Raw genomic sequence first — 23754 nt, forward strand, 5'->3', positions numbered from 1 at the left:
TATTAAGCACCTATTATATGACTAGAACACTATTCTAGGCCTTGGGATTACATTACCCAAAACAGAAGACAGATATTTCTGCCTTCATAGAGCTCATGTCTGGTAACTAGTGACAGAGTTCATGAATCTATCTATATGGCTCCCATGTTACAAAGTGAGTCTGAGAGAGAAAAAACACCTTATTTGGGCTCTTGGTTTCAATTTTAAATTTTCTTTTATTATGATTATGATTATTATTATTATTATACTTTAAGTTCTGGGATACATGTTCAGAACAGGCAGGTTTGTTAAATAGGTATACATGTGCCGTGGTGGTTTGCTGCACCCATCAACCCATCATCTACATTAGGTATTTTCTCCTAATGCTATCCCTCCCCTAGCCCCCCACCCACTGACAGGCCCCGATGTGTGATATTCTCCTCCCTGTGCCCATATGTTTTCATTGTTCAGCTCCCATTTATGAGTGAGAACATGTGGTGTTTGGTTTTCTGTTCCTGTGTTAGTTTGCTAAAAATGATGGTTTCCAGCTTCATCTATGTCCCGGCAAAAGACATGAACTCATTCTTTTTTTATGCCTACATAGTATTCCATGGTGTATATGTGCCACATTTTCTTTATCCAGTCTATCATTGATAGGCATTTGGATTGGTTCCAAGTCTGCTATTGTGAATAGTGGTGCAATAAACATACGTGTGCATGTGTCTTTATAGTAGAATGATTTATAATCCATTGGGTATATACTCAGTAATGGATTGCTGGGTCAAATGGTATTTCTGGCTTTAAATCCTTGAGGAATTGCCACACTGTCTTTCACAATGGTTGAAATAATTTACAGTCCCACCAACAGTGTAAAAGCATTCCTATTTCTCCACATCCTCTTCAGCATCTGTTGTTTCCTGACTTTTTAATAATTGTCATTCTAAGTGGCGTGAGATGGTATCTCATTGTGGTTTTCATTTGCATTTCTCTAATGACAAGTGATAATGAGTTTTTTTTCATATGTTTGTTGGTGGCATAAATATCTTCTTTTGAAAAGTGTCTGTTCATATCCTTTGCCCATTTTTTGATGGGGTTGTTTTTTCTTGTAAATTTGTTTAAGTTCCTTGTAGATTCTGAGTATTAGCCCTTTGTCAGATGGATAGATTGCAAAATTTTCTCCCATTATTTAGGTTGCCTGTTCACTCTGATGGTAGTTTCTTTTGCTGTGCAGAAGCTTTTTAGTTTAATTAGATCCCATTTGTCAGTTTTGGCTTTGTTGCAATTGCTTTTGGTGTTTTAGTCATGAAGTTTTTGCCCATGCCTATGTCCTGAATGGTATTGCCTAGATTTTCTTCTAGGGTTTTTAAGGTTTTAAGTCTTATGTCTAAGTCTTTAATCCATCTTGAGTTAATTTTTGTGTAAGGTATAAGGAAGGGGTCCAGTTTCAGTTTTCTGCATATGGCTTGCCAGTTTTCCCAAAACCATTTATTAAATAGGGAATCCTTTCCTCATTGCTTGTTTTTGTCAGGTTTGTCAAAGATCAGATGGTTGTAGGTGTGTGGTGTTATTTCTGAGGCCTCTGTTCTGTTCCATTGGTCTATGGATCTGTTTTGGTACCAGTACCATGCTGTTTTGGTTACTGTAGCTTGTAGTATAGTTTATAGTCAGGTAGCATGATGCCTCCAGCTTTATTCTTTTTGCTTAGGATTGTCTTGGCTATATAGGCTCTTTTTTGGTTCCGTATGAAATTTAAAAGAGTTTTTTCTAATTCTGTAAAGAAAGTCAGTGGTAGCTTAATGGGAATAGCATTGAACCTATCAATTGCTTTGGGCAGTATGGCCATTTTCACGATATTGATTCTTCCTATTCATGAGCATAGAACGTTTTTTCATTTGTTTGTGTCCTCTCTTATTTCCTTGAGCAGTGGTTTGTAGTTCTCCTTGAAGAGGTCCTTCATATCCCTCGTAAGTTGTATTCCTAGGTATTTTATTATCTTTGTAGAAATTGTGAATGGTAATTCACTCATGATTTAGCTCTCTGTTTGTCTATTATTGGTGTATAGGAATACCTGTGATTTTTGCACATTGATTTTGTATCCTGAGACTTTGCTGAAGTTGCTCATCAGCTTAAGGAGTTTTGGGGCTGAGACGATGGGGTTTTTGACACTATGAAGAAACTGCATCAACTAATGCGCAAAATAACCAGCTAGCATCAATTTTAAATTTTCCCACCCACCACTATTACTCTGCTATTCTCATTTCTAAAAGTGGGGCATACACAGAAGCCAGAGGATTTAGCCACGTTTCAAAGATCAGACCCCTGGTAGAATCTGGAGTTATCTTGGGCTGTTTGCAACTGCAGACAGCTGGGCCAGGCTTGCTTCAGTGTTGCAGTTTTTTAAGTCTTTGAGGGGCTTAAAGACTTAAATTGTCTCCCACAAATCTAAGGGAGAGGTATTGAATTTGCAGGAGTACTCAGGGACCTGCCAGGACCTGTGTATTTCAAGCGTGTCCTTTGGCAAAGCTCATCCATTCTACGTGTGTGCTTTCTCAAACCGGAGATGACTTATACCTTGCTGATGCCCGATCTAGCCCTGCCCATCCACCTACTGACTTACTGCCTTCATGATCCTGCTCAGGCATTCAGGAATACATGAACTGCTGCTATTTGACCTCATTCTGTGACCTAAGCAGGTCAGCTCCTCACTGAGCTTCTGCATTTGCATCTGTAAAATGGGCAAGTTCCAGGTTCATTTACAATCCTCCTAGCTCCAATAACCTAAAATTACTCAAAGGAATGGTGAGCAGCAGTTTGGTTGGCTTGAACAAAGAGCTCATTGAGCAACCTGCCCTGCTCCTTCTTTCTGCTCCCTGATCCCCTCTGTACACCTCTCCTCCCCACCCCCATCACCGCCCATCCCCATCAACTCGAGCCTCACCATATGTTGCCTTGTTTTTTCTGAAAATCAATCCTAAGGTGGCAGCTTTAACACTCTCCACTCCTGCAGCCTATTTTTACCCACCAGGCAGCTCGCCACCTGTGTGGCAGACGCCAGCATCCCCAGCTGTGAGGAGCACAGCTCAGCCTCTGCTTTTCTTCCTCTAGGGCCCCAGAAACACCCCTCTTCCAACTCAGGTCAGCCTGAATGTGTACTCTGGGGTCCTCAGCCAGAGGCTCTATCTCCTCAGGGTTCCTGCAGGTGGTAGGAAGAGTTTTACACAAACTAAAAAGGAAGGAAATGAGCAAAGAGGAATGAATAATGAAGGGAGAGATAGAAAAATAAGGAAAACAGACATAAAGGAGGAAAGAAGACCTCCAAAGACCATCTACCATGCCTAAGTCCTCTGTTTTGTATTTTAAATTCATCATTCCTTCTTTCATTTATTCAGGAAATATTTATGAGACTGTATTATGCACCAGGGACTATAATAGGCCCTAGGAATATAGTGGTGGACAAAAATAAACACATCCCTGACCTCATACTGAGGGAGATCAATTGCATCACTTAATCCTCATGACAAATTTATCAACTTTTAAAACCCCCATTTTTCAGATAGGAAAATTGAGACAGAGAGGTGAAGGTACTTGCTTAAGACACAGCAAGAAAATTTGCAGGGCTGAGCTTTAAATTCATCCCTGCCTGACTCCTAAGCCCTCATTCTGTTGCACCATCCTGCCTTCCATCCTCACTGAGGGGCTACGCTGAACCTGGGAAAAACTAGCAGTCATCTGGCCTGTTAGAGTGCGAAGGAACTTTCCAGATGATCTCACCTGTTGCAGGTGGTGACTGAGTGGGGCTGGTGGCATGGGCCATAAGGAATTCACTAAGACAGTTGTAGGTAAAGAAAGGCAGATTTATTAGGGAGATATGAAAATATGCTGCACAGGTGCAACAGGCAGGTCAGCAAGAGAAAAGCTGACTACAAGGATACAAAGGCTTGCTGGGGATTTTATGAGATGGTGCTTATGCTGGAGAAGGCTACATGTAGTACTGATAAAGCCAAGGTTGCCGTGAGCTAACTTGCATTTTTCTATCAGTCGAGGGTCTGTTGATAAATCCAGTGCAGGAAGATTGTACGTTATTTGCGCAAGAGGGGTCAGTGTTCTGGACCATGAAGAAAGGCAGACTTACAGCTTATCTGCTTTTTCTTCTTGCTTTCTCCTGCTTCTGCCAGCCTGAATCCTTTTCCCTTATTAGGACTCCACATCACCCAGTGGTTTCATTGAACCAGGGGAAAAATTGAGGACCAGAAAGATTATGTGACTTACCGAAAGCTACAAAGCTCAGTAGGATCAGGGGCCAGGACTGGAACTGGGGTTTCCTGAGTCCCAGACATCTGCTCTTTATACCACACTGTACCATATTTCTCTTCTTTTCCTTTATTCTTCATATAAAATATATGATATTTTTGATAATACAAAGCAATGTATTTTCCATTCCTCTCAATTCATAACACACTGTCATTCCCTAGCTATTGAATCCATGTGTTTCATGCAGTGCTTCACAGAGAGGACATTACTAGCTAAAATAATGAAGTTACAGCTCAACTTAAATGTTCAAGTTAGATTTTTTTTTTAAGTAAAACAATAGTCTTCAGAGTTTGTTTAGAAAGAAAAGGGATTGCTAAATTCTAAAAGCTACCATTAGACATCAAGAGCCCAACCAGGACAATTTAGCATTAAATTTTATTCCATGTCATGGGTAAACAAACAAACAAATTCTCAGGATATGACATAACTCAAGCTTCCACCAGATGGGAAGAGGAAGAGAGACATATTTTGCTAGAGATGAAAATTTGGAAGAGATAAGACACAGGTGGAGATGAGGTCTGGGTTCTTGGAAAGAGACTCAGAACCCCACCAGCCCCAAGTGATTCAACCCAAAGAAGGATCAGGGAGAGGGCATAACACAGTAAAATCTCCATTACAACCCCTAGATATGGAAACAAAATAAGAAGGCACCCAGCTGCTGTTTGACTTCTTCACTGAATGCACTAAGACACAAGAAGGCAGGAACCCAGCACAGGTAAAGTGAAATCAACTGACCCCCATAGCCTATGTGTGCTCTGAGGGGGCCTCGAATGTCCTCCCTTTGTCCCCCAGGATAAGGCCCAGTGGTTCAACAAAGACCTGAGTTCACAAGGGGCCTCCCAGGTGAATACTTTCTATTGAAAGTATTTCTATCCAAGATCAGTGACTGATGCCAGCCCAGGCCCCAAGGCCCTGCAGGACCAGGCATATCACCAAGGATTGAGCAAGGACAGAGGCCAAGTACCAGAAACAAGTGGGGCAGACTCCCGACCCAGCAAAACCAGAGTCCACCTTGTGGCTCCAAGACCCCCTCCCTCTACTGGCACAAGGATAATCCTGCTTTTCCTTTCACCCCACCACTTTCATTTTGCTAAATTTCAATGTCTTCTTTTCTCCCAGTTAGAGGCTGGAGACTAGTGTGATATAAGAGTTAAAGAGTAATTAAGGAAACACTTTTTGGATTATTTTTAAAACCTTTGTGCCTTGGTTTATAAATTATTCAACCCAGGATATTTGTTTTGAAAACTTCTGATGGGAGAGAGGTGGTGTCAGAGATTAAAATCTAGATTTCTGGGTTCTCTGCTTTTTAAAGTCCAAATTCTCTCAGCCTCTCGATGTCTTGGTTTGTGCTGCCTTTACTTACTCCAAGAAAGCCAAAAGTTGGAAGAGACCTGAGAGCCATAATCAACATCCCCACCACGTCCCAAACACACATGCCTCATTTAGAAATCCAAACCCCGAGATCCACACCTGGAAATGTCCTGCCCAGGGCGACAAGGCTCAGAAGTGGCTGCTCTTGGATGTCTCCTGGTTTCCTGCTTTCAAGCCCAGCACCCCACCTGCCAGAGCACAACGCACTGCCTATACACATCCCTGGCTTTCTCACATTAACAATACTTTATTTTTATTTATCTCTTTTATGTGGGTCAGGATTTGTTTCTCTGACTAGGTGATTGCTAAGGACCCCTCCAACTGGAAAATTCTATGACTCATCCTTTGTCTTCCTGCATGTCCTTGAATCACTCCATTTAAAGTGAGCAAACACTTTGCTTGGTTTGCTTAAGCATTTGACTTCCAGGGACAGAATTAAACCTAAAGGTGTGGTGAGTGTCAATTTGATTAAATTGTTGTCAAAGCCCTGCCTGCTGGCCTTTCTGACAGAGACCATGAGTGATGTCCCTGTCCAGTGAACTGCTACACCACACCATCCCCATGGGCTGCATTGGGATTCTTGGCTAGGATACTCTGTCCCTATAAAAGCTTGCCTCATATCTAAGCCAATCTCCAGCATTCCAAGAAAAATCTAACTTCAGGATTTCAGCTCCATTAATTTAGACTTTACGAAAATTCAACGAGGTCTTTAAAAGTTTTGGTAAGCAGGACAGGAAAGAAGGCTAGTTAACTACCTTAACTGAGCCAACTATGCTGGGGCATTGGAACCATAGCAGTAGTGTGACATGAAGGTGAAGGCTTAAGGCTGGATTCAGACCTCCATTCATGTAGAGTTACTTGGCTAATTGCAAAATAATTCTCATATATTTGCTTTTAAAGGATCTCAGAAGAGCTATACTATATACAATTGTATTAGCTGAGTTTGAGTTGTGATGTGAATTTGTGAATTGATGAAAACTATTGTAATCAATAAATTATAATTGAGACTTTGGTAATACACAACAGTCTCTTCCTAATTTTTCTAAATGAACAAATCTGCTGAGCTTGCTGTGTACAAGCACTGTGGAGTGCTTTGAACAGTCCCAGGAAAGAACTCAGAATATCTGAGTTCTCATCATCATGCTCCCTAACTTGCTCAATGAATCAGTATATGCAATTAACCTCACCATCCTCTCTCATCCAGAAAATAAAGATACTCCTAGATATTACAGTGACTTCATAAGGCTTTTGGGTGATAGAATAAACTCATTCAATGAACCAGCCAATGAACACTTCATACACTGAATATCTACAATGTACAAGACCTCTGAGAAGATACAGAAAGGTATCATGAATTCATTTGTTCAATAAATATTAGTAGTATACCTCCTATATCCCATGCAAGGAGCTAAGCATTCAAGACACAGTGAAGAGAACATGTCAGATTTGGTTCTTGTGTTCATTGAGTTTATATTCTAGTGAAGGAACTTGATAATCAACAAGAAAACAAATAAGTACAGAAGATAATGGCACATTGTAAGATCCTGGGAGGGAAACAGCACTGTGACAGAGAACAACAAAGTTGAGGAAGATATATATGATTTAGTGTGAGTCATCTGGGGAAGCCTCTAGTAGAAAGTGACCTTTAACTGAAATGTGAAAGATGCAAAGAAGCCAGCCATGAGAAGAATGGGAAATGCTTGGGGAAAATTGTCTCCATCGAAAGGAATGGTAAGTGCCAAAACCCCAAGGCAAACTATAACAACACATTCCAGGAACTGTCAAAAGGGCAATGTGATTGGATCTTAGAGGGCAAGATGGAGTATGATTTATGCACAAATCTCATTCTCAAGATGTTTGCCATCCAGTAGACAAGATGAGATTATATAAGCCAAGATAATTTGGGTAAAATTATCAAAAAGGGCTAAATTCTGTGAAGGAAGAACAGATTAAGGGCTGCATATCCAGGCATGCAGCAGAACCCAGTTGAAGCCAATGGGAGAAATGGGGCTAAGTTGAGTCTAAGAGGATTACTCTGTCAGTTAGTTCTTGCACATAACAAACCACCCCATAACTTAGTAATTCAAAGCAACAATTATTTATTTATCACACAATTCTGGGTTGTCAGTTTAGGCTAGAATCAGGTGGACAATTCCTTTGGTCTTGGCTTGGCTGTCAGCCAAGGTGCCTCTACTCTCCATATGTGCCAGCCTCCATATGTCTCTCACATTCCTCAGTCAGGTGCTTGGGGGGGTCAAGGCCATAGTATAAGCACAAGAAAACCAATTATGAAAAAGATTAAGTGGGAGTAGGCAAGGATTCCTGAGGACTAAGATCAGAATCAGCACACTGTCACTTCTACTGCATTATATTGGCTAAATCAAATCACAAAATCATCCCAGAGTCAAAGACAGTGGAAACTATGAAGTTATAAAGATAAAGAATGCAGATTCAAATAGGCCACTAATTGGTGTCATTAGTGTAATTAGTGCACCAAACTTGCTTAATTAGAACAGCCTAAAGAATTGTAAGTGGATGCAGAACTCGGATGGTGGTTGACAGGAGGCAAGACTGCAGTAAGGGAGACAAAAACTATATTAAATTTGAAGACCGCAATGAAGAGAGAAATGGTAGAGTCAGCAATGGAAGTAGAAGCAAGGAGAAAAAAAAAGTGCATGTGACTTGAGGAATGGGTTAAGCAAGAGGCAGAACTAAATTTGTGCATATCCAAAGAGAAAACGTTGTTGATCCCCTTATTAAAAAGTGCCTGTTAGTTTCACATTTTATCTCTGGGTCTCTTTTGCAACCCCACTCTTGGTACTATTTCCATATTGTGGAAAAACTGTGGTCTGGAAAAAAAAGTCAACAAGGAGCTGTGTTTTTTTAGTTAGGTCTTGAACTATAGGTAAGATTTTATGTATAAAAATCCACTTTGGGCATTTATGGTATTATGGTTAACAATTATATTTATTTTTAGACACTGAGTTAACTGAAATCTTTTGTTTTTCTTTTTCTTCTTTTTTTTTTTTTGAGACTCAGTTTCACTCTTGCTGCCCAGACTGGAGTACAGTGGTGCAATTTCAGCTCACTGCAACCTCCACCTCCTGGGTTCAAGCAATTCTCCTGTCTGCGCCTCCTCAGTAGCTGGGACTACAGGTGCGTGCCACCATGCCCGGCTAATTTTTTGTATTTTTAGTAGAGATGGGCTTTCACCATGTTGGCCAGGATGGTGTGGAACTTCTGACCTCAGGTGATCCACCCGCCTCAGCCTCCCAAAGTGCTGGAATTACAGGCATGAGCCACCTGAAATCTTTTAGATCAAAGGAATCGAACTTGTGGATGTCCCAATTTCTTTAGCTCAATGATTTTCAACTTGCTTTAATAGAACTCTTTTTATAAAAATGCAATTTTACATAGAAAATGTAATGTTTTAATATGGAAAACAGATGAAAGCACATCTTCATAATATGCATTTATTTACTAAGTTCCTTTTTACAACACTTATTTAAACACCTCTCACTAAAACGATGTTTTATTCAATAAAACAATAATGCAAGGATTTTGGATAAGACTTATGGTCTTAAAATAGCTTGAGAAGCTAATATGCTTTAGTATTTTGAGTCACACATATTGAGAAAAATATTTCTCACAGGTAAGTAGTAGTACTCAATTACAGAGTTTTGCATGAGTGAAAAATAACTTCTTTGGGTTACAATAAAATCCCACTCCAGGGTTACAGGCTTCTAAATAATGACACACTTACATTTCTAAGATAGATAGGTAGATGACAGAGATAGAAAGATAGATAGATAGATAATAGATAGATAGATGATGGATGGATAGATAGATAGATAGATAGATAGATAGATAGATAGATAGAGAGACAGACAGCAGAAATGGATGGATGGATGGATGGATGGATGGATGGATGGATGGATGGATGGATGGATAGATGGATGGATGGATGGATGGACATACAGACTATGAAAGTTTAATTTCATTTATTCCAAAGTCTACATGCGTATTCCAAAGTCTACACACACATACACACACAAAATAAGTTTGCTCTTTGGTAGTCATTGTGATATGTAAATTGGTCATATAATGGAATGTGTACTTTTTTAAAATTATAATTTGTAAGGTGAATTTTTCCTTTAAGTTAACTTATTTACTTTTTAGTCACAATGCACTTCTGCAGAAGCACTCACCATTCCCTGGAACAAAGCTTTGAAAAAATGACTCTAAAAGGACAGAGAAGATGGAAATATGCTATGGTCCTGGGGAAAAAATGTAAAAGAAAAAAATGGAATTTATGGCCATATTTGCATCCAAATGCCACTTCTTGTGTTACTTACTAGCATGTAAACTTTGTTGTCTTCTTTTTTTTTTCTTTTTTTTTTGAGACAGAGTCTCACACTGTCGCCCAGGCTGAAGTGCAGTGGTGCAATCTTGGCTCACTGCAGCCTCCGTCTCCCAGGTTCAAGCAATTCTTTTGCCTTAGCCTCCTGAGTAGCTGGGATTACAGGTGCGTGCCACCACACCCAGTTAATTTTCGTATTTTTAATAGAGACACGGTCTCACCATGTTGGCTAGGCTGGTCTCAAACTTCTGACCTCAAATGATCTGCCTGCATCGGCCTCCCAAAGTGCTGGGATTACAGGCATGAGCCGCCACACCAGGCTCGGTTATGTTTTTTAATCTATTTGAGCCTTTATTCTCCTCTCTTTAATATTAGGATTATAACTCTTATTTCTTCAAGTATTCTGAGAATTGAAACAAGATGATGTCCATATAGTTCTGAGTACTTTGTATAGCACATAATAAATCCTTAATAAATGTTACTTCTTTTATCTCAACCCTGTTCAATCTCTTCCTATATCAGGAGTGAAAGAGAGATCAGATCTTTCATTTGCTCAACTGTTTCGATAGATGCCCCCATGTTCTAATAGCATCAGCCTGTCAGGTTGCATCTACGATGTTTGTAATTCAGGTAGCAAATTGATTTTTGAAAGCACTCTGGGCCTGCTCTGTCCATGTCAGAGAAGCTCCAATCATTAATTATGCACCAATATTGATGTTTTTGTCTGACAAGGTCTAATGTCACCATATTCAAATCTGGCTGCTTCCTTGTTAGAAAACCCTTCGAAATGTGGCCTTGGAAGAGACAGCATGTGTCACCTACAATATTTGAAATGTCCCAGGATTGAAGCCCTCAATTAGAATTAAAGACAATGTGCATCCTTGTCCTGGGTCCCGAAGAGAATGAGCTGGTGCTATTCATGAAAGCAGCTTAAGGTACGGCTACATCAGGCATTGCTCAAAAGAAGGCAATCAAATCTTCTGGTAAACTGCATACAGCATTGATATGAACAATTTGAATATATTTGGATTTGCTGCTGTATACAAAAGTCAGGTATTGTGGTTTGTGTTTGGAAGCTTATCCATTTACTAATTAGTAAGTTCAATCATAAATATCCAGCAAGGTCTGCCTGATTTCACAGAATCATTAGGAGAATTGGGATCAACTTATTTTTAAAGGAGACTTATAAACATGCAAATGCAAGTGCCTCTGACTTGAACTGAATAAATAAATCACAGGCACTCTCATTCAAAGGTTCTTATTGGATCCATTTAATTCATTCACCAAATAATCACTGTGCTCTGACTACATGCCAGGCACTATTCTAGGCACTTGGGAGCACATCAGAGCACAAATAGGCAAGGTCTGCTCTTGTGGAGCATTTATTCTAATGAAGCCTCTTTTGGATGTTATGATTTCCAAGATTTTGGCTAAGATGATTTTGCAAGATAGAACAAGGCAGCTGAATGAGTCTCTTCTATGAGTTTAGGATTTTCATTAATTTAAAGGAGTTTTCTAATTTCATCTCAAGCAACTCCTAAGACATAAATTCAAGAGTTCTGAATATAATTAATGTTTCTCTCAGATTGAGCGGTACTATGAATGTTTTCATGATGTCAGAGAAATTGTAGGAGGATTCTTACAGGGGAATATTACTCTACTTACTCCGCATTCTGCATTTTCTAAAGAGGAATTGGGTAAGAGATGATTGCTAGTACTTATTTGTCCACTAAACTAAAAAGAAAAGGACACTCACTTCTGATAAAGAATAGTTAACATAACTTATATTATAGGTGTGTGAAAAATGGGGGGGATTTTTGCATACCCTAAAATATTTTCATTTCTTTCTTTCTTTCTTTTTAATTTTTTCCTTTCAAAAATATTTGAGTATAGGCCTTTTCCTAGGTATTGCATGAAATTCAGAGAATACAGATAAAATATAACATGGTCCTAGCAATCAAAACATTCACTGTCTCATTTTTAAAATTTAAAAAGGTGAGTAAATTAAATCAATTTAGTGTAGGGCTTAGACTTAATTTATTTTGGAACTCACAGTGTAATGAAATGAATAGTAAACCAGACAGCCAAAAATCTATTTTTGCGTCTTTTCACCGTCACATGGAGAGGCCACTAAACTCCTTTGTGTTTCAGTTTCCTTATCTGAAGAAAGGGATTTCACAGAATTGGTTGTGAGGATCATTTTAAATTGTTAACGTAAAATGTGATGAAAGTAGTAAAGGCTCAAATAAAAGTGATGGATCATGATGGTTATAATTCATGCTAATTCCTGTAAGCCTTCCACTCTGCGATGGTCATGAGTAATGGTGATAGCAATAACAGCTAACCTTTACTGCATACTTATGTATACCAAGCACTAGCAAAAGGAATTTAAAAATACTAACCAGTTTAATATTCAAATTAGTCCTATGAGGTACATATTATTCTCACCTTCATTTTTAAGATGGGGGTACTGAAGTGCAGAAATTTTGAATGCTTTTTCCAAAACCTCGTAGTAAATGGTGGACAGCAGATCTAAACTGGAAGTCTACTTCCAAAAGCCCACTCCAATATTTTGAGTATCTACTATGTACCAAACATTGCATATCAGCTATAAAGATTGATGAACTATAGTTCCTGCCTTAAGGGGTTGAAAGTCAACTGACAGAAACATACACTCAGTTACATAAGGGCACTGTGCAGGAGGGGAATTGATTGAATTGAAAGTTCTGTGAACAGAAAGGATAGGTGAAGTCAGTGTGTGGTGGTCTAGAGCAGCGGTCCCCAAACTTTTTGCCACCAGGGACCAGTTTTGTGGAAGACAATTTTTCCACGGACCGGTGCAGGGTGAGGGAATGGTTTCAGGATGATTCAAGCACATTTATTGTGCACTTTACTTCTATTATTATTACACTGTAATATATAATAAAATAATTATACAACTTACCATAACGTAAAAGCAGTGGCAGCCTTGAGCTTCTTTTCCTGCAACTAGACAGTCCCATCTGGGGGTTATGGCAGACAGTGACAGATCATTGGGCATTAGATTCTCATAAGAACCATGCAACCTAGATCCCTCGTGTATGCAGTTCACAGTAGGGTTTGTGCTCCTATGAGAATCTAAAGCTGCAGCTGATCTGAGAGGAGGCGGAGCTCAGGCAGTAATGTGAGCAATGGGGAGTTGCTGCAAATACAGATGAAGCCTTGCTGGCTTGCCCACTGCTCACCTCCTGCTGTGCAGCTCAGTTCCTAACAGGCCATGGAGCAGTATCCAAGGGTTAGGGTCCCCTGGTCTAGAGCATCATGCTAAGAGATGTGACCTTTAGTCTGCAGCCAGTGAAGTTTTTGATCTGGGGAGTGTATTTTAGGAAAGCCACAGGTAGCTACGAGAAGAGTGAACTGGAGAAAGTCAGAGAAGCTGGAGGTCAGAAACTGTGGCATCGGATTCAGGGAGAGATAACCAGAGCCCAGTGTAGAGGCTCAACGTGGAGTTGGATGAGAGGGAAGATGAAATCCACACACAAGGACCACCTTGAAAGAGAAAATAATATCCAAAAACAAGCCTAAAGAATTCCCCTAGGAATATATGGAGTGTGGAGACAGGGTACACCTCCCTTTCCACATCAGATCCCTTTCTGGCAGCCCCCACAGGTAGGAAGAATAGTTATCAGGTAAGTCAGAGTTCAAAGCACTACTTGGGCCACATTTTACTATGGAGGGAGGTTATCAAGCCTCCAAGTCAGACCCCTTGTCCTCCTCATCATTTGCACCTCCTACCTCACACCTAGGTAAGCTGTCCTTTGGGGTAAGCCAGCTATTCTCTGGTAGCCCCAGCTTCTACACCATCCAGAGAAATTTATAAGCTGAGGCAAGGTACCTGGCCCTCCCTCTCTCCCCTCAGCACACTGGCACCAATGGTAGGTCAGATTCAGGTTGAGTAGAGCAATCAGGAGCTTTAGTTAGGCCTCCAGCCATGTGCTCAAATCTAACTTTTATGAGAAAGCCTGTTCTTCGGAGAGCAGATTCTTATTAATAAAGTTATTAATAGAGTGATACCTTGAGCTCTAGTCTTATTGCGCCGTGTATATAGCCCCCTTAGTTGGAAACTATGGAGGAAAGGAAGATGAAAAGCATAGTTGTTCTAGGAATTTCTGGGTCTCTTGCTGAAATCCCAACACACCAATACCTTGTCCTAAGCACCTACAATGTGCCAGGTATTTTACATGCATTATCTCTATCAAACTTCACAACAGGTACACAGTAAACCCTTAATAATTGTTACTTCCTTTTTTCCAACCCTGTTCAATATTTTCCTATGTCAGGAGTGAAAAAGAGATCAGACGTATGATTTGTTCAAATTCTAGGAGAAGGGATTTTTATTTCCATTTTATCCATGAGGAGAATGAGGCTCTAAGAGATTAAATGGCTTGCTTCATGATTGAAACCCAGGCCTGTTTGATTCCAAAACTTTTAGTCTCTTTAACATATTCAAGGAGACTATCCATGCCCTCTTCTTCCTTTTATTCTTCCATCCATCCGACTCTTTCCTATTTTCTTTTTTTCCTCCCTTGCCTTTTTCTGAAAAGTACTTAAGGCACAAACTACTACTTTGCCTGCATTTACAGTGGTGGGACACGTCTGGCTGGTTATATAACATAATGGCAGCAAACATTTACTGAGTACTTACTATAGGTAAGGCTCAGTGTTAATAAGTGCACATATTATTTCCTTATACTCTTTCAATAACTTAATAAGGTAGGTTCCAAAGCAATCTTATTTTGTAAGTAAAAACCAGAGGTCAAAAATGGTAAATAACCTACCTAAAGCCACACAGGAAAAACTAGGATTTGAACTCAGTGCCTACCTCATGGATTTATTATAAAGACAAAAAACATGCAAAAGTGCACAGAATGACACACACAATCAATTAGTGTCCATCAGGACTGTTGAGGCTGTTCTCCTCCTTCTCCTCATCCTCCTCCTTCTCCTCCTCCTTCTCTTCCTCCTTTTCCTCTTGTTCAGATGACTGCCTTTGAGAGCTGTGGAATGGTCATGCAATCTAATCTAATAGTTCCATCCCCATCATCAACACATCTGCCAAAAGTATCCTGTAGCATCAGAGGGTGTGAGTACGGTTGGAGGTTGTCTCCAGTTTCTAAGCAATTGCTTCTATCTCTGCTGTTGCTTTGGATATCAGTAATCAGTGTTGCTAAGGCCTGCAGTTGACCCCAGATTCTACAGAAATCCCATCCATGGGCATGAAATGGATCCAAGGATGGAAGCAGCTTCTGTGAGAGGAAGGCCATATGTTCAACTGGACTCAAGGGAACTAGACAGCATTCACATCTCCTCGGTATTTCCATCTTACTGCTGTAGGGGCTCCCAAAGTAAGAAGTAAAGACACTAACAGAAAAAGCCATGTGTATACTCAGCAAGAGAGAAATGCATAGCAGAGCTAAGCAGAGAGAATCCCAAACCCCTTAGAAACCACCCAACCCCATCCATTTTACAGTGAGTGACTTTCCCAAGGTCGCACAAGGAGTGGAATGCTTTCTCCATGGAGGACCACTGTGATACACAACTCCTGGGGGCATTTACAAAGAATACAAAGTAAATGATGCCCCTAGAGTGATGCACCAAGCAACCCTACCTCTGTCACTTCCTTCCATCAAAGTACGTATATACCGCTAAAAAAAAAAAAAAAAAAAAAAGGAAATATTATAACTTCACTTCCTGGTAAGAACAGTTTCCTCTGCCTTGACAGTATGCTCAGCAAAAGGGAAGAAGGGGCAAGACCTCTTTCCTGCAACACTCACAGCCTCATCATCAAGTCTGCCTTGAAGACCTTCAGGAGGAATCCTGTCACGTGCTACATCTCTGTTTCTATCAATCACTAAAAAGCCCAAAACTTTGAAGTCATCTCTCATAACCAGACTCTCATCCCTACATTGCTCTGGATATCACCAAATTCTACTCCTCTTCCCAACTCCCCAGTCTTTCCACAGTGCCCTCTGCAAATCAGCACTTTCATCAGCAAGATCCCTGTGTCTTCAACCATTACCCTCAAGGTTCCTTCCATGACATTGCTCTACCTGAAATCTAGCTGATTCCTGAGGTAATTTCTTCTCCAAAAGCCCTCTCTTTCCCTGTGCTTGAAGAAGCTAAGGATTGAACTTGCAGAATCGAACTGAATTGAGAGAGATACTGATGGCCTCGATTATGATGCAGAGTTATATTTGTGGTGGACACTGGAGTAAAATTGCTTAGATTTGAGTCTTCACTCCTCCACTACTGAAAAAAAAAAAAAAAAAAAGATAAACCAGCAAGGATTTTTAAACTGCTTTGAAGCTCCTGGCAGATGTAATGGGTATAACAGTACCTACTTCATGGGTTTATTATAAAGAGAAAAGGTCTCCTTTTTTCTCATCACCTTTTCTAGATCATTCTTCTTTTCTCCTACAAACACACACGCTAGAAGTGAAGCTTATACCATTAGACTATGCCCTCTCCTTGTTCCTGTCATCTGCAAACCCCCTGGTCACCACCCCTTATTCCTTGAAGTTCTGAACTCCTGGATTGCTTTCACTCTTTTCAACAGTATTTCCAGTATAGCTCTGTTTAAAAAAAAAATCACACCTTTATTGAGATGGTATTCACGGACCATAAAATTACCCAACTAGAATGTACGATTTACAGGTTTTTTAGTATATTCATAGAGCTGTACAAATGTACAACCATCACAATTTAATTTTAGCACATTTTCATCACCCCAAAAAGAAACCCTGTATCCATTAGCAGTCCCCAGTGCTAGGCAACCACTAATCTACTTTCTGTGTCTACAGATTTGTCCTATTCTGGACATTATATATATATGGAATCAGACAACATGTGACTTTTTGTCCTTACCTTCTTGTACTTAACATAACGTTTTCAAAGTTCATGCATGTTCTAGCCTGTATTCATAACTCATTTATTTTTATTGCTGAATAATATTTCACTGTATGGATATACCACACTATATTTATACATTCATCAGTTAATGGGCATTTAGCTTGTGTCCACTTTTTCACTATTATCAATAATTCTACTATTCATATTTTTGTACAAGTTTTTGTGTGGACATATGTTTTCATTTCTCTTGAATATATGTTAGAAGTAGAATAGTAACTCTATATTTAACAATTTGAGTACCTGCCAAACTGGTTTCCTAAGTGGCTGCATCATTTTACATTCCCACCAGCAATGAATGAGGGTTGCATTTCTCCACATCCTCTCCAACACTGGCTATCGTATGTCTTTTTCATTACAGCCATCCTATTGGTATCACATTGTGGTTTTAATTTGCATTTTCCTGGTAACTAATGATGTTTAACAACAATCTTAATATCACCATGTGCTAATTGACCACATTAGGATAATCGTTCCTGATTGGGCTATCCACTGACGTCATCTTTTCATACGCTGAGCTCTAAGTTCCTTGGCCTTAATTCCTTCAGTGATAATGTCCTCTGCCTCACCTGCATGATTCATTCCCACAGCCATATATTAACCTAACCACCGAAAACAACTCCAACACCTCCATGATCTCAATTACAGGAATCCACCCTCCTATTACTGCCATTTACCTTTCTAGTTCATAATATATAGCTCCCAGACTCCTAAAATTATTTGGCCCCACCGTGACTTACAATTCATTGATCCTACAGATTTTCACTTTTTTTCACTCTTTCACACTCTCACTTTTTGTTGTATCTACACTTATACGATCCATAGTTACAACCGTACTTTATGTATACCTCAACTCCCTTGCTTTTTACATGCCATCACACTTGCTTGGCAAGATTAGAGCCCTAGTTAAACCCAACTTGTCCTCATCCCCTACTTGCACCTACACTATTTAATTGAGTAGAAGAAGAAGAGGCAACCTTAATGGTTTGTTCTTACTGTAACTTCCTGGCCACTAAGCTCATGGACTGCTTGGAATTCCCAGGACAGTTCATTAGCTCAATCACTCTTCCACTGTCCTCGGTAATTATTTCATAACCTTTTCCTCTCTCCTCAAACCTCTAACACCTTCTTTTCCACTGTGAGTTTCAGGCTGTCTTCTAGTTCAATGAGAAAATACCCATAGAGAACTTTCCACTTGTTTTATCAACATCATATCTACTAAGTCTTCTGTACCTGACCATACATTCCACCTTCATCCTTGCTACCATTAATACCATTATACTCTTCCTGTTCCCACTCAAGGCACAAGTTCCTACACCCTCTAATATTCTCAAGGGTATCACCTCAACAAAGGTTTCCACATTTTCTTCTGCACTCCCAAATTTTCCCTCTCTGCTGGATCATTCTAATTAGCAAACGAACATGCTGTAATATGTTCTCTCTTAAAATTACCCCTCCTACCCCACACCCTGCTCCTACTATTGATTCATTTACAGTTTCCGTTTACAGCAAATTTCCTTGAGAGAATTAGCCATTAACCATATTCACTGTCTCCATGTCATCTTCTCCCCTTCTCTCTTAAGCCAGACTAGAATCATGCTTTTTAATCTTCATTATTTCAGCAAAACTGTTCTTGTGAAGGTCAACAATGATCTTCATGTTGTTAAACCAAATAGTCAATCCTCAGTACTTAACTTACTTAAACTCCCTCTCTCTTGAAATGCTTCTCTTGGTTGGAATGAAAAACACCACCCTCCATTGTTTCTCCTTTTGCCTCTTCATTTTCTTTTGCCAAATCTTTGCCTTTTCTTGGCTTCTTAGCCTTCGAGTATCCCAGTGTTCTGTTCTCAGTTTTCTTTAGTTCTCCAGCTACACTCACTCTCCAGGTCATCTCATCCAGCATCATGTCTGTAAATACTATCTATAGACCAATGAATCCCATGTTTGTGTTCCCCACCCCAGTTTCAGGTAGCCAAATTTCTACTGTTCAAAAACTCGTGAATATCTGATAAGTATCTCAAACTTATCATGTCCCAAACCAAATTCCTGATGTCCCTCTCCCGAGCATATTCCTTCACCATCTTCTCTAACCCAGTAAGCAGTGATGCACCTACACATTCTGTCCGATGCACAGGCAGAATCCAGAGACTGACACTTTCATTCTATCTCTACTACTACAGTTTTGTTCCAGCTTCTCAGCCTGCCTAAATCATTGCAGTGGCACTCTAACTAGTCTCCAATTTCTGTTTTTATCCTTCACTTCCTACATAGCAGTCAGAGGGACTGTTTTAAAATACAATTCAAATGCTTTCTCATCTCATTTTGTGTTAAAGTCGTGTCTTTATAATTTCCCAAAAGGATCAATATGACCTGGGCTCTGCTTGACAGTCTGACCCCCAATCCTTACTGTCTTTCTCCCTCACTCTCTCTACTCTAACCCATTGACCTCCTTGCCAGACATGCCAAGCATCTTCTTGCCTCAGGGTCTTTGCACTTGCCTAAAAGATTTTTTACCTCCACCCAGAATGTTCTTCTCCCAGATATTTTCATGGATCACCCTCTTACATTTTTCAGCTCTCTGCTCAAATATCACCTCCACAGGATGACCTTTCTTGAATATAACATGTAAATGGCACCCTGCTTCTATCTCTATCCCTTTGCCCTGCTTTATTTTTCTACATGGCATTCATTACCGTCTCAAATAGCAAATATCTGTTTGTTTGTTTCTTTGTTTGTTTGCCTGCTTGTTATTTTCCATAAGCCCCCATCAGAAAGCAAGTAACATGAGAAAAGGAAGCAAGTAACATAAGAAAAACATAAGCTTTATTTGTTGTGGTATCCCACATGTAATGTCTTGCACATAGTAGGCTCAATGAATGTTTATAAATAAAAGAATGCATGCATGAGTTAATTTATTAATTGGCTTTGTGACCAAGACCTATGTGTCATGTTTGGCCAAAGAAATATTCAGAGACCCTGCTTTTTCTTTTTCTTTTTTTTTTTTTTCATTATACTTCAAGTTCTGGGATACACGTGCAGAACATGCAGGTTTGTTAAATAGGTATACACATGCCATGGTGGTTTGCTGCACCCATCAACCCATCATCTACATTAGGTATTTCTCCTAATGCTATCCCTCCCCTAGCCCCCCACCCACTGACAGGCCCAGAGTGTGATGTTCCCCTCCCTGGGTCCATGTGTTCTCATTGTTCAACTCCCACTTATGAGAGAGAACATGCGGTGTTTGGTTTTCTGTTCTTGTGTTAGTTTGCTGAGAATGATGGTTTCCAGCTTCATCCATGTCCCTGCAAAGGACATAAACTCATCCTTTTTTATGGCTGCATGGTATTCTATGGTGTATATGTGCCACATTTTCTTTATCTAGTTTATCATTGATGGGCATTTGGGTTGTTTTCAAGTCTTTGCTATTGTGAACAATGCTACAATAAACATACGTGTGCATGTGTCTTTATAGTAGAATGATTTATAATCCTTTGGGTATATACCCAGTAATGGGATTGCTCCAGAAACTCTTCTTTTTCTTAATTGACAAATAATAATTGTGTATATTTATAAGGTACAATGTGATGTTTTGACATATGCATGCATTATAGAAAGATTCAGTCAAGCTAATTAACTTATCCATCACCTCACAAATTTATCGTTGTTCTGTGGTAAGAACATTAAAAATCTATCTTACTAATTATGAAATATACAATGCATAATTATTAACTGTGGTAATCATACAGTGCAATAGATTATTAAAACGTATTCCTCCAGTGTAACTGAAACTTCATACCCTTTGATCAACATCTTCCCTTTCCCCATTCTTCTCCCTCTCTCCACTACCTCAGCCTCTAGTAACCACCTTTTCACTCTCTGCTTTTGTGAGATCAACTTGTTAGGATTCCATATATAAATGAAATTGTACAGTATTTGTCTTTCTGTGCCTGTCTTATTCACTTAGCATAATGTCATCCAGTTCCATCCATGTTGTCACAAATGACAAAATTTCCCTTTTAAAGGCTATATAATATTCCATTATATATTTGTACCACCTTTATCTATTCATCTCTTGATGGACACTTAGGTTGATTCCATATCTTGACCATTGGGAATAGTGCTGCAATGAACATGGGAGTATAGATGTCTCTTTGACATACCAATTTTTACACTAATTTACATCCTCACCAACCATGTACAAGGGTTCCCTTTCTTCCACATCCTCACCAACACTTGTTATTATTCATCTTTTTTATAATAGTCATTCTAACATACATGAAGTGATATCTCATTGTGGTTTTAGCTTGCATTTCCCCGATGATTAGAGAGTTTGAGCATTTTTTCATAGATCTGTTGACTATATCTCTCTTTTGGGTATATATCCAAAAGAATTGAAATCAGTGTGTCAAAGACCCTTCTTGCAATATCATTCTAGTTTCTGGGAAATGAGACAGCATGGTGTACTGGGAGGAGATTCATCTTGGGAGTCAAAAGACTAGATTTTATTTCCAGCTTTGTCCCTACCTGACTACTGTATAACTCTGGGTAAGTGAGATACAATTTCTGGATCTCCATTTCTTTAGCCACATTATGACCCTTTTAAATAAAATAATATTTGATAATCATATCCCCCAGAATTTTAAACTTCCTTGATGCTAAATCAAACACTGAGTTGAACAGTGCCATCCTTCCTTGGATCACCAGATGTTGCATGTGGCTGAATGATAAGTCTTCCTGCTTTCAGAGTTCAATATTAAGGACTCTGGTTTCCACCAATATAATTTTCATTTCACCCATCTGCCTACTTTAGCAATTCTATTTCTCATTCAGTTCAAACTCAGAAAAGAGAATTGCTGGTTATCCGGCCATCTCAAATCCCCCAATTTGGCACTTTACATGCATTGTCTCACTTAATCCTCACCACAGCTTTGCAATGTAGGTATTAACCTAACTTTACAAATGAAGAAGATGAAGTTAAAATAACTTGATTAAAGCCACCCAACTAGAAACATGATAGACAATTTGAGCCCATGTCTGCATTTCCCAGAAAGCCTTAATATTTTTATTCTTCAAACCATAGAGGGACAAAGATTTTAATAGAATTTCAGCGTTTGCCCTCACCAGCTGTATGACATTCAAGACATCAGTGCACCACCATGGGCCTCAATTTTATCTTCTGTAAAATTGGACAATAATACTAACCTTCCTGCATCAAAATGAATATACAATCCTTGTCATGAGGATCATATGAGATGATGCAAGTGAAAGCATCTAAAAAATATAGAAAAGTATAAACTACCATTCACATAAAGATTTTATTTTTCAGACCATACAAGATATTCTCTCAATCCCAAATGTGGAGGAAAAATTGAGAAATAGTCATAAATTGAAAACATCTTTTGCAAATGTGTCTGTCTCAAAGGAAAGACAAGATTCTGCTTCTTTCAGCTGACTTTCCAGTCTAATGACCTAGAATTCACTGCTATGCTTTTATTTTCATCCCAACGTGCTACAACCCACGTGAAAATGTCTGATAAGCTGGGAGCTTCTTTTGATGCATGGGAAAAGAAAATGTTTTTATTCCAAGGCACCCATATCTTTTCTGAATATTTTTCTTCATATTCTTCTGGAGGTTTTGATCTCACATTATTTTTCTTTTGATTCGAAGGATGGAAAAAAAAAGAATCTACAGGACTTTTCAATTATTTATCACAGAAGGCATTTAAGGCCTGGTTTCAAAGTTGATTTCTGGATTTCTACACTCACTCATGCACATCGAGAAGTTGGTATGACCTCCTGAGAGGACAGCTCAGTGAAGGTCGAAGGATGTGTCTGACTGACATGTGGGCCCTCAGATATTCTGACCCAGACCTCTGTCTCCAAGCTAGGGGCAGCAGCATCTGTGTGATGGAAGGAGCTGCTGAGAAACTCTTCCAGGCATCTGACTCTTCAATTTGGTCTCTGACCTCTACTACTTTCCTGCCACAAAAGATAAATTTATGCCTTTATTGAAGAATATTAGAATTAGATTTCACTGCAATTTGATAGATATTTATTGAGTACCTATGCCTATTTTGTACCACACATTGTGCAAGGAGCTGTTAAGATGAAAATTATTCATTATTCGTGATAAAGATGGTCAAGAGTAACTAGGACTCAGACAACCTGGGTTCAAATTCCAGCTCCACCACTTTTCACTTACTGTGAAATGTTAGACAAGTCTTTTAACCTATCTGAGCCTGAATTTCTTCATGTATAAAATGAGAATAGTAATAATAATCCCAAACTTATGACACAAATCCATGTAGACAACATACACAGTATCTGGTCCATGGCTGTTCATTAGTATCATGAGAATGAGGATGGTGTTCTAAATGCAAGTAAGCCAAAGTAATTTGGTTCCCTGCCTTCATACTCTAATGGGAAGCATAGATTTTAATCAGATAGTCATATAAACCAATAGTTACAAAAGTGCTAGAATAGATTATGTTGCTGCCTTTCCATTGTGTAGTAGCCATGCACATTTGGGCTGGGGACAGGAACCGAGCCCAATCTCGGCTCTTTAAATGTGGTCTAAACAGCTCAGTATAATCTGTGTAAATTCTGTCTCATCACCACTGTGATTATGTGACCTAAATCATTTTTATCAAAGGGAAGCCTAGAACTTTTATAGTAGGAAGGGAAACTCCCTTTCTCTGCCAGTGGATGTGGCAGCGAAAGTATTTGACCCAGAAGTGGATAGCAGCCCATTTTTCAACCAGCAAGAGAGCCAAACAGAAGGAAGT

At 39.4% G+C, this 23754-nt stretch overlaps 1 long non-coding RNA gene across 1 annotated transcript in view; it reads right to left on the bottom strand.

The window, feature by feature from the left end:
* LOC107987122 (uncharacterized) overlaps positions 1 to 23754 on the bottom strand; it is a 101852-nt gene that overhangs the window by 32206 nt on the left and 45892 nt on the right. The window lies entirely within an intron of this gene.

This window comes from Homo sapiens, chromosome 9, assembly GCF_000001405.40.
Source record: "Homo sapiens chromosome 9, GRCh38.p14 Primary Assembly".
Taxonomy (NCBI): Eukaryota; Metazoa; Chordata; class Mammalia; order Primates; family Hominidae; genus Homo; species Homo sapiens.